This window comes from Homo sapiens, chromosome 1 (assembly GCF_000001405.40).
Source record: "Homo sapiens chromosome 1, GRCh38.p14 Primary Assembly".
Taxonomy (NCBI): Eukaryota; Metazoa; Chordata; class Mammalia; order Primates; family Hominidae; genus Homo; species Homo sapiens.
Window position 1 is genome coordinate 232,022,585 of NC_000001.11, and position 14,077 is coordinate 232,036,661.

Sequence of the window (14,077 nt, forward strand, 5' to 3'; positions counted from 1 at the left end):
CGTGAGCCACCGCACCCAGCCAATACCCATGGTTCTGATCCCACCCTGCTCTCTCTGGACAGACAGATTTCTTTGGACAGAACAGAATTTTTTACCAGATTGATAGAAATATATTAATCTACCCTCTCATCAGCTGTCAATTCTCAGTTTAGGTCTAAACTAATTCTATTCTCAAGATTCCAAGTGAGAGCATTATAGTAAAATAATACATCTCTTAAGTCATATCTACCCAGTTCACATTCAGTATCCTCTCAGTTCAGAATCAGAAGCTGTCAGACCAACAAGTAGAGGTTCCTGCACAAGCCTGAGAGAGATCCTGTAACTTGTGCCTTGGAAAAACAGCCCCACGAAAGAATGCCAGACAGATCTTCTCTTAGCAAACATGGTGACTTGAGCTCTCTGAATTTGTTCCCTTATGCTACATTGTTTGTTTTTTAATCTCTAAAAAAACTAAAAAAAATTTCAGGTAAATTTTCTTCCTTTTTCATTATGGTTTGAATTAGGGTTTTTGATAACTTTTTTTCCAAATTTTAGGGATGTTAAAGGTTCAGGAAAGTATAAAGAAGAAAATAAAAATTTCCCATAATACTGCCCCACAAATAATAATTATAAATATTTTGATGCTTTGCCTATTTGAGTTATTTCATCATCATTAAATGCTCTTTTATTAAAAATGACTTTAATGGCTAAATACAAATCTGCTGTACCAGAACTTATTTAACTATTCCCTTTATTGTTTGACAATTATTTCCTCTTTCCTATACTTTTAATGCCATCATCTTTGCATGAAAAATCTTTTATTTCTATTTGATATATGTGATAGGCATTCTTCCATGCTTATTACAAGGGCTTAATAAAAGTTATTTCAATTTAAATGAACAAATTATTTCTTTTTGATAGATTCCAGGAAAGGAAATTATTGGGTCTTAAGATATGAACAATTTAAAGCGCTTGTTATGTGGTCTGAAATTGCTTTCCAAAATTTATGCCATTACTATCAATCTGCACGTAATTTAAAAAGGAAAACAGGCAGGAATTATATGTTTGGGGGAGAAATGTAAAACTGTATTTTAAATTTGTTTAATTTAGCTCTGATTTCATATTTGTTGTAGCCGTAAGATGAAGATTGAGTCATTTGATTTCGTTTAAGGGTGTTTTAAATTCCTTGGTTTTCTGTTCTGAGTCTATGCTTTTTCTCTCTTTAAGTGTGTTTTCAGTCATATATATTTTCCTGCTAACACTGTATGTTTCTCCTTCCTGTATGATTTGTGGTTTCATGACTGTCAATCATTTTTTCCCAGATGTTCTTTTTCTTAGTGTCTCATTTATTTCATGTGTGATGACGGTGTTGCTCATTATCCAGTGTCTACACTTCTGTGTAATCTCCTACCCTCAATTTCATATCTTTGATTATTTTAGGGTCAGTAAAAATATATATATATATACACACACATATATATGTATATATGTGTATGTGTGTATATATATATATATTTATCTGTGATTTTTATGTATTTGCTGTCTTCTCACCACTGTTATGGTCAATTTTGAGTAAACCTTCAAGGGTGCTTCACACTAAAGTTCCTTTAATTGTGTCCATATGTCCCCACAATTGTATGTTATTGCCACTAGATTTCTTTTCTATATACACTTACTTGCAGTAAATGCGTATAGTCATTCTGTAGCTTGTAGCTCATTCTTCAGTATACTAGACTTCTCCAATATTTACAAGTTATTTGCAGTTCCCATTAGCACTATTTTATTCTAAGGTAGTTGGCCATTGGCATGTAAATTTTAAAGCTAATATAGCAAAAATCAAATTATATACTTGGATTTAATTGTTATTTGTGGAATCTGATTATAATATTATATAATGCATAATCTCCAGACTTTTTAACAGTGACTATTACCGCACCTGGGCATTTTGTTGTTATTGTTGGGTATTCATTGTATCTTTTGTAGTAAACTTGTAGTTTAAGATGAATACGTATCTTAATAGTTTCCCTTATGCAATTTTTTTTTTTTTGAGACAGCGTCTTGCTCTGTTGTCCAGGCTGGAGTGCAGTGGCATGATCTCAGATCACTGCAATCTCCGCCTCCCGGGTTCAAGCGATTCTTCTGCCTCAGCCTCCTGAGTGGCTGGGATTACAGGCGCCCACCACCACGCCCAGCTAATTTTTGTATTTTTTTAGAGAGGGGGTTTAACCATGTTGGCCAGGCTGGTCTTGAACTCCTGACCTCATGATCCACCCGCCTCAGCCTCCCAAAGTGCTGGGATTACAGCTGCGAGCCACTGCGTCTGGTCTGCAAAAATTTTTTAGTGTATCTTCTAAGCTTTTCACTCTTAGTTAAGGAAATATTATCTTTACATTTAAGTTTTAATTCTGAGCTCATTTCTTGCTTCTCCCCCTGCTTTATTCTAAGAATCTCTATCTTCTGTTCTCATTTTCTTAACCTTGTTTATTGTTTTCCTTTACAAGTCTGTGGCCTTCTACATGCCCAGCATTCAACTTTGGGCCCTGGGATGAATGACTAACCCATGGCCCTTACCTCACTTGAGTGGACACAGAACTTATCAGAATGGTTGCACTACAAGGTGAAATTATTATTTGGGGCCTTTGAAGGAAAGGCTGGGTTTCAGAGAAGAGTGGGGAAGAATGCATGGGCAAAAAGAACAGCATGAGAGAGGGCAACGGGGTTAGTCCTATTGGCAAAGCTTAGCTTGCCTTTAGGAGAGTTGAGGGGATACAGCTGAACCATGGGCTTTGTGCGAGGTCCTATGAAGACAGAGTTTAGACTCTGCTCTGTGGTGGTTTCGTGCAGGAAAGTGACATAAAGAAGGCCCTTTTCTGGCTCATAGAAATAAGTTTGAAGGGAAAAAGTGAGAGAAGGAAGGAGCTCTAAGACTTAATTGTTCATTCATCAAATCGATCAATACTACGTGCCTGTCATGTGCCAGATACTATGCCAGGGGCTCTAGGGATAGCAGCAAAAAGACATCATCATCCTGCTCTTTTTTTTTTTTTTTTTGAGACGGAGTCTCGCTCTGTCGCCCAGGCTGGAGTGCAGTGGTGCAATCTCGGCTCACTGCAAGCTCCGCCTCCTGGGTTCACGCCATTCTCCTGCCTCAGCCTCCCAAGTAGCTGGGACTACAGGCGCCCGCCACTACGCCCGGCTAATTTTTTGTATTCTTAGTAAAGACAGGGTTTCACCGTGTTAGCCAGGATGGTCTTGATCTCCTGACCTCGTGATCCGCCCGCTTCGGCCTCCCAAAGTGCTGCATCATCCTGCTCTTATGCGGCTTAAGCTCCCATGTATGGTGGTGGTAGCGGCGGCTCTATATGCAGTATACACCTCATGGCACTTAAATTCTAGCATTCAGGGACTGTGGTCAGTGTGTAAACAAATGTTCAGTGCCCTAGTCAATTCCTGTGTCCTTAAAGGAATATTCCCTTTGTCCTTACAGGTTAGCCCAGTTGCTCCTGTGACCCCTCTCCCCACTTTTTTTAGAATCCCTATTAAATTTTGAATTTGCCCATTGATACAGCTGGAAGATTCAGGGTTTCTGTTTGATAAATCCACTTCGGGACTTGACATACTGGAAGCAGCACTTTGAAATGACCAGACAAGGGAGGTGGCCTGTGGAACTGCATAGACAAAGCTCATTCTTTGGTCATAACTTGAAATCAGTTCACAACTTCTCAAGTTTGATACCCAGGGGAGACACAGGCCCTAGCACAATTCTGACTGAGGTGCAGAAACTGGGAGAGCTCTTTCCAGGAAGCTTCCCTTTGTGTTCTGTCTGTGTCCACGGCACTAACAAGTGATCTTGTTTTCCCCCTCTCGCCAGGAATCTTACATCCTTTCTGCAGAACTTGGAGAAAAGTGTGAAGACATAGGCAAGAAGCTATTGTACTTGGAAGATCAACTTCACACAGCAATCCACAGTCATGATGAAGATCTCATTCATATCCTTTTCATCTTGCAGATGAAGCAAGGCAAAGTTATTTTATAAAAGAGAGTCTTTAAAGGGTAGTTTTTCATGCCTCAGAAGATGGCAACAAATAGATGCTGCCGTTATTTATAGCACAGAGCACCTCAGATCTCTGAGATTATCAGGTATGAAATGTTTTCGCTCTAGTTTTCAGTAAGCAATTCAGTATTTTTTTTCTTTTTTCTTTTTTTTTTTTTTTTTTTTTTGATGCCTTGGCTGGAGTGCAATGGTGTGATCTCAGCTCACTGCAGCCTCCACCTCCTGGGTTCAAACGGTTCTCCTGCCTCAGCCTCCTGAGTAGCTGGGATTACAGGTGCCCGCCAGCACGCCCAGCTAATTTTTTTGTATTTTTAGTAGAGAGAGGGTTTTGCCATGTTTGCCAGGCTGGTCTAGAACTCCTGACCTCAAGTGATCCGCCCGCCTTGGCCTCCCAAAGTGCTGGGATTACAGGCTTGGGCCACCGCATCCGGCCGCAATTCAGTATTTTTAATTGCTAAATCCAACCACTAACAATTAAGTTCAGACATGCACACGAGGAAGCCAAAGAAAATGCAGTTTCAAGTGAGTGTAAATCCAGCTCTGTGTGGCCCTGGTGAAGGAAAACAGTTGACTGGCTCGTTTTCCTACGAGCTTTTTCAATACCAAGCGTCCTAAATCCACCTCTGAATTTCTTTATCTAGCAACTCTACCTAGTAATGGGCAGTACAGTAACAAAGCAAACAGGACTTTAGATTATTTCCTTTCAACTTCTAACCATATACACATGGTTGAACTCAATTTAGTCCTTTCTGCTTCCCGGTGATAGAATTTCTTGCACCAGACTTAATATCCTTGGTGTCACACCTACAAACACCTTCATCAAAACTAGCTGCTAGTGAGCAAGATGGCCTGAGAACATACTGGCTTAGGTATGCATCCGTATGAAGCACTCCATTCTGTGTTGATCTGTGGACGCAGTTTGTCACTGGTTAGTTCTGCTGAGAGCAAATGGGTGGGTACCCAGTGGATGAAGGGATATGCAGCCCTATATCCTTTCAGTTATTTAATCACAAGTTGACACTTCTCTAGCTAAAAACACTTCCCTATTCATTCATCTTTCTATTCAGTAGAATGTCTTTTATTAGATGCGTTTGTGGCAAATTTAGCTATTTTGGTCTTTGCTTGTCATTGCTGTCTTACTTTTTAGAATTCCAGTTTTTACCATACTTTATGGGCTGTGTGTGTGTGTGTGTGTGTGTGTGTGTGTGTGTGTATAAGTAGCTTTGAATGGCCAAGGATTAATCTTAGTCATAAATACTCAGATCTGTGATTTAATGATAGAGCCAATGCTACACTTCCTTCCTTGTTATAACTTTACATTTTTGACCTTGTTTATTAAGCTGGGCAGAAAATTTCTTCAACTTAATCTGCAATGATTTTCACATTGCTTTAGGTAGATTTTGAAAAGCAGATATTCTGTTCTTCATAATTTCCTGCCTCTTAAAAATCTTGTATTTAAGCTATTATCAGAAAGTTTCCCAAAGAAGCATACAAACATAGAATAAGGATGGCGTTTTTATTTATTCCATGTTCATGGGATCACAAATCTTTGAGCACGTGTAAGGGGGTATGGCTTCCAGCAAATGGGCAGGTGATGGGGCACAGAGGAGGAGTCCGCTGCAGAGAGTCAATGGATATGAAGGGGTTCCCGTTCCCCAGCTCAGCAGATGGGCAGTTCCTAAGTGGGTTGTACCTCTGTCTTCAGGTAGCAGTTCTGAGGGCTGCAGTCAGGGTTCTGTACTGGTCTCTTATTGTGAAATTTTCTAAAAGGTTAGTTTGATTCTGGGGAATTGGATCTTATTTTTACTAGAGCTGGGGAGGCAGCTCTAGTAAAGACCCCTGAAAAACAAGGGGTTAAGCAGTATTTAAACAAGATCCTTTTAGTTTTTCCACAGCTGATCCAAGCCAGATTTAATAGCAGCGGGATCATGGACAAGTGATAATGCCTCTTTAAGCATTAGGGTTCCCATCTGTAATGTCAGGATAACATACACCTCTAAGGTTTTTATGGGGGTTAAATAAGGCTATATTCATAATGTACATTTAATATAGCCATGGGTAAGTGCATGATTTTAGGTAGAAAAGTGTTATCCAAGTCCATTTGTCTCACAGTTCTTAGTATATTAGTCACAAGCTCCAAGAACATCCCATTTATACACAAAAAGTTTCAAGGTAGATTGATTCAACTATTTTGTAATAAATGCTTGAAGGAATCAATCAGTAACTCCACAGTGGCTTAGATGAAAAGTCATTTAATTATAATAAAACTTCTATAAATGGATAGGGATTATTATCCCTACTTGACAGTCGAAAAAAACAAGGCTTGGGAACAACTTGGCTGACACAAGGTCATTTCTGATGAGTAGCAGAACTTTTCAGCCACAAGCCCCATGGTCCTATTAGGCCCATCAGAAAGCAGCCATTGCCTATAAGTAAATGGACAGGTCTGTTCCATGGAACACACAATTACTTTAAATTTTTAAGCTATAATAAAAGTATTTCACTGATGTTATGTTTTTTGAGAATTTCACTGATCTCTGTTGTGATAAGCGGAGAAGCACTGGTTTAGGTACTGAAGTCAGCTCTCTCCCTCCCTCCAATAAAATCTACACCACGATATGGATTTCAACCCAGACTTTTCTTCGAATCCCAGTCTTCTGTCACTGATTGAGAATAAATACACAGAAGGTGTCTTTGAATTCATACAAAGCAGCACTTAAATTTGAGTGGAACATTATGCCCTAAGATAGAAAGACATGTTTACAAGGCTCTACGGAGGCTCCCCTACACAAACCAAAGCCGTTGTTTCAAATTAGAGCTTATCTAGAGATTCAGAGAGGCTGCCAGAATCCTCCAGCCAAACTCTGACTGGTTTGTATTTCCATGTTTGATCAAAGATACAATGCTGAGTGTGGCTGAAAGAAACAGCTTGTTGTCAACAATACAGAAGGATTGCACAGTGAGTGCAGTGTTTTGTTTGATTCCATTAAGCATGCTGCCAGAGCCTACTGTGCATGTGAGGTACCCAATTAATCTAAGTCCACATTGGAATGTGATTAATGTAAGCCCACATTGGACGTCCACGTCTGAAAGATTCAAGCCACAGATGCTACCATGGATGTTTATTCTTTGTGTGGAAAACACTCAGTTTTTGCATAAACCATGTGTGTACATAAGGGCTATTAGTGTGGCATCAACAGAGGTTAGGGGTGGGCAGTGGGACTGAGTTTCCAAATAGGTCCTTGTGGCCTCCTGATTTAATATCCGAGTTATGGGCAGCCTCATGGGTGTCTCCTACTTTTATTAAGAAGACACTGATTGACCAATCCAAGGAGGGAGAGGAAAGAGCCTTTGCCTCTTCATCGTCCTGACAGGCTCACCAAATTACATGTAGCATGACCAAAGAACAACACAAACCCATCAGCTACTGTGGCAGCGAGTGTCTGAAAACAGTCTGCACCATTAATTGGGAGAGCTGGTGGTGGAGAGGTGGCTCACGCCTAGTGCCTGAGAAGGGGACAGGAGGTGTGACTTCACGGCCAGTCAAGTCGGGACTTCCAGGAGCATTAGTGTGAGTCTCTAGTGCATTTTCACAGTCATCTGGGGTCCTAATTAGCAGTATGTTTTGAAAAACATTTTGACTGTGTGCAAGGTCTCCTCCACGCTCAAAATATTGTAACCAAAAGCCTTCCAAATTAAGGTGGATTTTTAAGCAGGAATTTTCTCATTTTCTTCCTCCTTCAATTTCTACAACACACTTTCAAAGGAAAAGAAGTACACCTGTGATATGTACATTTTTGGCATATTTCAAAGCCCTCAGGGCAGTTCTGCCTGGCCCTCAGTCATAGACGAGGTAGAGACACTCTGATTCTATTTGTGGTTGTATTTACATCCATGTCTGGGAAGCCCTTATGGAATTCTGTTTCTCTGGTTATTTGGAGTGCATGGTGCCCAATTGTTTAGTTTTGGTGGTGCTTGAGGGCATGCTCTAAATACATCCAGGTTTGTGCACAAATACCACAGCTCCGTAGGACCCTTGTTTAGTTCAACTTTCCAAATTTTAGCGTGAACAGACAAAGGTAACGAGAGTTTTGGGAGACTGTCCTGCCTCCTTGGAGATGTTTTCCACTTCTAGAGCTGAGGGGCTGGAAGAGGGATCATGAGGATCATGGAGCTCCACTCATGTAGTTTATAGATAAGAAAATCCAGAGCCTGGCCAGGTGCGGTGGCTTACATCTTAATCCCGGCACTTTGGGAGGCTGAGGTGGATGGATTGTTTGAGACCAGGAGTTTGAGACCAGCCTAGGCAACATGGCAAAACCCTGTCTCTATTAAAAATACAAAAATTAACTGGGCGTGATGGTGCACACCTGTAGTCCCAGCTACTCCAGAGGCGTGAGAATTGCTTGAACCCAGGAGGTGGAGGTCGCAGTGAGCTGAGACTGCACACTACTACACTCCAGCCTGGGCAACAAAGTAAGACACTGCCAAAGAAGGAGGGAGGGAAGGAAGGAAGGAAGGAGGGAGAGAGGAGAGAGAGAGAGAGAACAGGAAGGAAGGAAGGGAGAAAGGAGAGACAGAGAGAGAGGAAGGAAGGAAGGGAGAAAGAGAGAGAGAAAGAGAGGAAGGAAGGAAGGAGAAAGAAAGATAAAGAAAGAAAAAGAAAGAAAAGAGGAAGGAAGGAAGGAGAGAGGGAAGGAGAGAAAAGGAAAGGAAAAGGAAAAGAGGAAAGAAAAGGAAAGGGAAGGGAGAGGGAAAGGAGAAGGGAAAGGAAGAGAAGGGAAGAAGGGAAGGGAGAAGAGACAAGGGAAAGGAGAAGGGAAAAGGGAAAGGAGAAGGGAAGGGAGAAGGGAAGGGAGCAAAAGGGAAGGAAAGAAAGAAAGGAAAGGAAAGGAAAGAAAGAAAAGGAAAGGAAAGAAAGAAAACCCAGAGCCTAAGATGACAGTATCTAAAGCTTTGTGTGTGATGGGCTGGTGCAGATATAGTAGTCACAGTTCTTTCCTTAGGCTCTCACTTGGCTTTGGAGTGGGACGGGGAAGAGTTGGAGCCCCACAGTGGGTGGGGGAGGGCAAGGGCGTAGACACAGGGCTGTCCTGCTGCTGGCTGAGCACGAGGTGGGCTTGGCACAAGGTAGGCAACACAGAGTTTCTGTGTACAAGCATCAAATCCTTTGAATCAATCTTGGGTATAGTCAAGGTTTTCCTCTTTGCTCTTGAAAGACTGTGATCCTCATGGCTTTTCCATGAGGATCTCCAGTACCAAATTCTCCAGCACTATGGGCTGTAGTGGCTACCCAGGAAGGAATGGTGGTAAGAAGAAATAATGTAGCAAAAGAGTAGCACTTTCAAAGGATAAGAGAGTCCCTTATCTGAAATGCTTGGGACTAGAAGTGTTTTGAAGTTCTGCTTTTTTTCAGATTGTGGAATATTTGCATTATACTTACCAGTGGAGCATACCAAATCCAAAAATCCCAAATCTGAAATGTTCCAATGAGCATTTCCTTTGAACATCACGTCAGTGCTCAGAAGGTTTTGGATTCTGGAGCATTTCAGATTTTGGATTTGGGGATTTGGGATGCTCAACTTGTTCTATTGTTTCTTTTTGAATCAAACTAGGTCAGATGAACCGAAGACCTAAATTTGACTAAGCCATTGAAATGCTTACTTGGACACTTCATTAACAGTAAAACACTCAATTGTTTTCTTATAAAAACAGAAGACTCCATCTAAAGAATTCCAGGATCTTTTGCAAATGGTACCCCAAATGACAATATTGCCTTATCATCTATTCCTGAATGCACCTGTCCTGCTGTCTTACTCCTTTGCTAATTGCAAACACAGACATTTTAACAAGTTACATGCTTACCTACCATGTGGATAGTCTATTCCAAGGAGGTACAGAATGGCCTTGGGTTCCAAAGGTGTTTTAAAGATGTTAGGATGTTCATCCCTGCGACGTTGTTATAATGAATCTGCTAATTTTCTTAGATACCACAGGTACTTGGTGGCATATCTGTTATGGGGGGCAGATACTTAGCTACTCAGGTCCCTAAGGCACAGGCTTCATAAGAATTATTCTGCTTTTTTGAGGCCTATTCTTGCAATTAGGTGCAGTTAGCACCTCTATTCTAGTTTTGGAATTTGCCTAAATTGTCAATAGTTTTGGAATTTGCCTAAAATTTCTATTTGCCTAAAATTCCAATTGTTTTTCAGCTCTTTGACAACAATTAAGGTCAAGGTCAAGTGTTTCAATGGGCTTCAACTATGAGCTTATTGGATTAGTGATCAGAAAATCTGATTATAGCTACTACTTAGCCTTAAGATCTTGCTTAGATGTATCAAATGAGATAGTTTATTTTTCTGTAAGTCAGTGAGAAAATGTTGTAAAACACTTTTTTTTAATTTATGGTTCAATATGAATGCCAGACTTATATCTGTTTTCTACTCAGCATCTTCTCTTGGCTAATAAGCTTGTCCAACTTACCCTGTCTAAAATCCAATTCCCTCCCTCCTCTACCAAAAACACCAAACGCTCATTCCTAGTCCTCTTCTTCTCAATAAAATACAGATGTGTTTTTCTAATTATTTGCTCAGATAAAAAATCAGGGAGTCCTTCTTAATGCCTTTTCCATTTTCCATATCCCACATCCAGTCTGTCACCATATATATGCTCTTGGTTGTATCTGCAAAACACATCCAGAATCTAGCCACCTCTCCTACCTCCACTGCCACTGCCCTGTTCAAGCCATGATTGTTTCTTGCCTGAACTATTGCAGTGGTCTCCTAACTGGTCACTCTGTGCTTCCGCCCTTATCCTCTTTAATCCATTCTCAGCACAGCAGCCAAACTGACGATGTCACCCCTCTGCTCCAGGTCCTCCCACGGCTCCTCCCATCTCACTGTGAACACAGCACAGCTGGACATAACTACCAACATGGCGCCTGTTTACTTTCTGCTGCACTCATAGGTATTTATGCCATCTATGATGGCAGTGACTTTGATTCACTCCTGTGCTGCTGTGTCCATAACATTTGTTAACACACAGTAGAAACTCAGGAAACATTTGAATGTTTGAATGAGTGAAAGAAAGAAAGAGGATCTCTCTCTGCACTTTCATTTCTCCCAACTGCTTAACAGGGAAATGTTTCCAGTGGTTTATTTTATAAACATATTGATTTAAATATGAAAGCAATGCATTTCCATTGTGAATATCACAGAAGTATGGAAAATAAAGCTGTTTCCCTCCCAGTGCCTCTACCTAGAGGTCACTACTTTGTCCTCCTGAAGCCTTTTTCTAGAGCTATAAATGGCTTATCTCAATAGTCTTGTTTGCAAAATTAGGATCATTCCATATAAATTATTCTACAATATGCTTTCCCCCACCCCATTCTGCATTTTTTTTTCTGGGGACTTTTCCATTTCAGTACATCCAAAATGCTTTGTAACTCACATTTTGTAAGGGATCCTACAGGCAGGTTGGTTAGAGAGAAGTACTTTGCAAATAAAATGTGATTTTAATTATTATTTTGATGATTATTACCCCTACAGGCTCATTAAATGAGGTTTCTAGGATTTCTGGTGTCTAACCCTGCTTTGACAGAGCCTAAGGTATTTGTTACATCTGTTATATTAAGAAATAAACCTTAAATCTCATGATGACTCACAAAAGACACTATACTCTCACAAGGAAAAAATATTTCTTTGAACCCTAACCCTATGAGGAAGGTACAAGATTCAGTATTTTACAAGTAGAATAATTAAGCATTGATTGATTTGCTGAGCTTACCATAGCTAGGGAGTTATCTCCTCAAATGCTGGTTTTCTGACACCTTCTGTGTTAGCGATTGTTGTATGAGCGGCTGATGTGTTAATTTAGTTATAGACTAACTTCATCCTTTGCTTTTGTAACTTCTCACTCCTTATTTTTAACCTTTTCAGTGGGTTCTGCCAGTTCCAGAAGATTTATCAGTTTTTAAAGAAACATCACATTTTGGTTCAAGTTCTCTCTCTAAAAACCTTTGTCATCATTTAGCACATTACAAATAGTGGCATGTAGTCCCAGGCTGCATGTCAAAGGTAATTAAATCTCAGGAGTTGGTCAGGATTCATAAACTGCTTAAGCTCCATGCCTGCTCTTCACAGATGTGGCATGACTTTGTGATTAAATTCCAGTTTGGTATTCAGTCTGGGACCACTTATGCTTTTGCTTGTATAAAGTGGTATATGTTTTCAATAAAGATTAGCGGAACTATGTAAGAAATGGAAGCAACCAAAGCCTCTTAAAAAAAAAAAAGAAAGAAAGGTAAATATTGGATTCTTTCCTCCCCTGATCACCCTCCTACCCAACTCCCATTTTCCTCAAGTTCAAATGCAAGGAGAGAACCCTAGCAGTAAATGCATGTAAATTACGCAAATGATAGAGTCTGGGGAAGCTTCAAGAGGGTGAAAAACTGCCAGAACTTTTCAGGGTGGTTCAGCACGTTTGCTTAGAAGAGATTCATTTCCATCATTCCCAGGATCCTCTGGAGTTCCTTGTTCAAAAAAGAAAGGAGGCTGGGCATGGTGGCTCATGCCTGTAATCCCAGCACTTTGGGAGGCCAAGGCAGGCAGACTGCCTGAGGTCAGGGGTTCAAGACCAATGTGGCCAACATGGTGAAACCCCATTTCTACTAAAAATACAAAAATTAGCATGGTGGCACACACCTATAATCCCAGCTATTTGGGAGGCTGAGGCAGGAGAATCACTTGAATCCCGGAGACGGAGGTTGCAGTGAGCCGAGATCGCACCACTGCACTCCAGCCTGGGCTACAAGTGCAAAACTCTGTCTCAAAAAAAGAAAAAAGAAAGGGAAAGCTTTCCACAGTGGTTCGTAAGGGTGTCTTTTTCTCTTTTTGTTGCATTGACATTGCACTTTGGGAAAACCACATTGTAGTGTAGGTGGTCTGTAAACAGTCAGACTCCCTTTCCCAAAGCTCCCCATTCCCTCCATGTCTGATCTAGTACTGTTGTAGTGGTCTGGCTTCATGTGATGACTTCAGCATATTTAGGTGGTGTCAACATATTTCTACTTTCTCCCTTGGTCCCTGTTGGATGAAAGTGGATCAATTTGCTTGTTAAACCCAACGCTCACCCTGCATTTGCCTTAGAGTTGTTCTGACTACAAGTAAAAAGGGAAAGGATGAACTGGATGACGTATGGACAGAAAAACCACTGTTGGTTAAACATTCCCCTGCTTGAACACCCAGACGAGAACCCGTTTCTTAAGAGAACTACAGCCTTATCTATTACTGTTTGCTAAGTTCTCTATGATTGTTTTCTCCATGTGAGAAATAACTTTATAGGTTAGAAAACTAAGAGCCCAACAGCTTAAGAAAAGAAAAGAACCAACCAACCAACCCAGAAAAAGCAAGCTCTCTTTGCCCTTTGATGGACTCTATCAAGTCTTGAGTGCCCTTCCTAGTTCCTGGGAATATACTAACAGATAACAGCAGGTTAGAGCCTGGAGAGGTTTCAAAGTCATCATTTCAAGAGAAAACTGAGGCTTTAACTGGTTTGCATAGGGTGACAAGGCTGGTTAATGGTGAACAGAGACCATGTTAATAACTGAGTCTGCTCCAGTATGCCTCTCCCTACTTATGGCAACCCCAAATCCTGTATTTCTCAAGGAGATTTTGATTTCAAGCATTCTACCCTTTCCACTGTCAAGAGTATTTGCATCTGACAGTTGCCCCACCCCAACTTGGGGCTTAGCCGGAGTTATGGTCACGCCAACTGCATATCATTGAGCATCTGAGTTGACCATCTGTCTCTGCTAAGAGCTGACTCTTCCATTTCCTTTTTAAGACCTGACTTGAGAGAGTCAATACCTCAGGCATTGTAGAAATTGCGGTCATTCTAAAATATAAAAGTGTAAAGTTTATATTAATATTTAATTCATACAATTGGAAAGAACTTTAAACTGCAATTAGGTGTCAGTACCCATCTGCTTCCAGCAGGCTCACACGCTCTTCGATCCCTCGGAGGCCGCAGAGGGCCACGATCACC

At 40.9% G+C, this 14,077-nt stretch overlaps 1 protein-coding gene and 2 long non-coding RNA genes across 6 annotated transcripts in view; all 3 read left to right on the forward strand.

Moving 5' to 3' along the window:
* The window catches only part of TSNAX-DISC1 (TSNAX-DISC1 readthrough (NMD candidate)), a 512,620-nt gene that overhangs the window by 493,932 nt on the left and 4,611 nt on the right, over positions 1 to 14,077 (forward strand). The window contains exon 15 of the long non-coding RNA NR_028393.1: positions 3,851 to 3,968. This is a non-coding gene — a long non-coding RNA (TSNAX-DISC1 readthrough (NMD candidate)). The remainder of the gene's footprint in view (positions 1 to 3,850; positions 3,969 to 14,077) is intronic.
* Positions 1 to 14,077, forward strand: part of DISC1 (DISC1 scaffold protein) — a 414,483-nt gene that overhangs the window by 395,795 nt on the left and 4,611 nt on the right. For all 4 annotated transcript variants that reach the window (NM_001164537.2, NM_018662.3, NM_001012957.2 and 1 more), the window contains one exon: positions 3,851 to 3,968. In NM_001164537.2, coding sequence (NP_001158009.1) covers positions 3,851 to 3,968 — 118 coding nt within the window. The remainder of the gene's footprint in view (positions 1 to 3,850; positions 3,969 to 14,077) is intronic.
* Positions 3,982 to 12,292, forward strand: LOC124904549 (uncharacterized). Its single transcript, XR_007066941.1, has 2 exons — positions 3,982 to 10,999; positions 11,581 to 12,292. It is a non-coding gene; the product is annotated as an uncharacterized LOC124904549 (long non-coding RNA).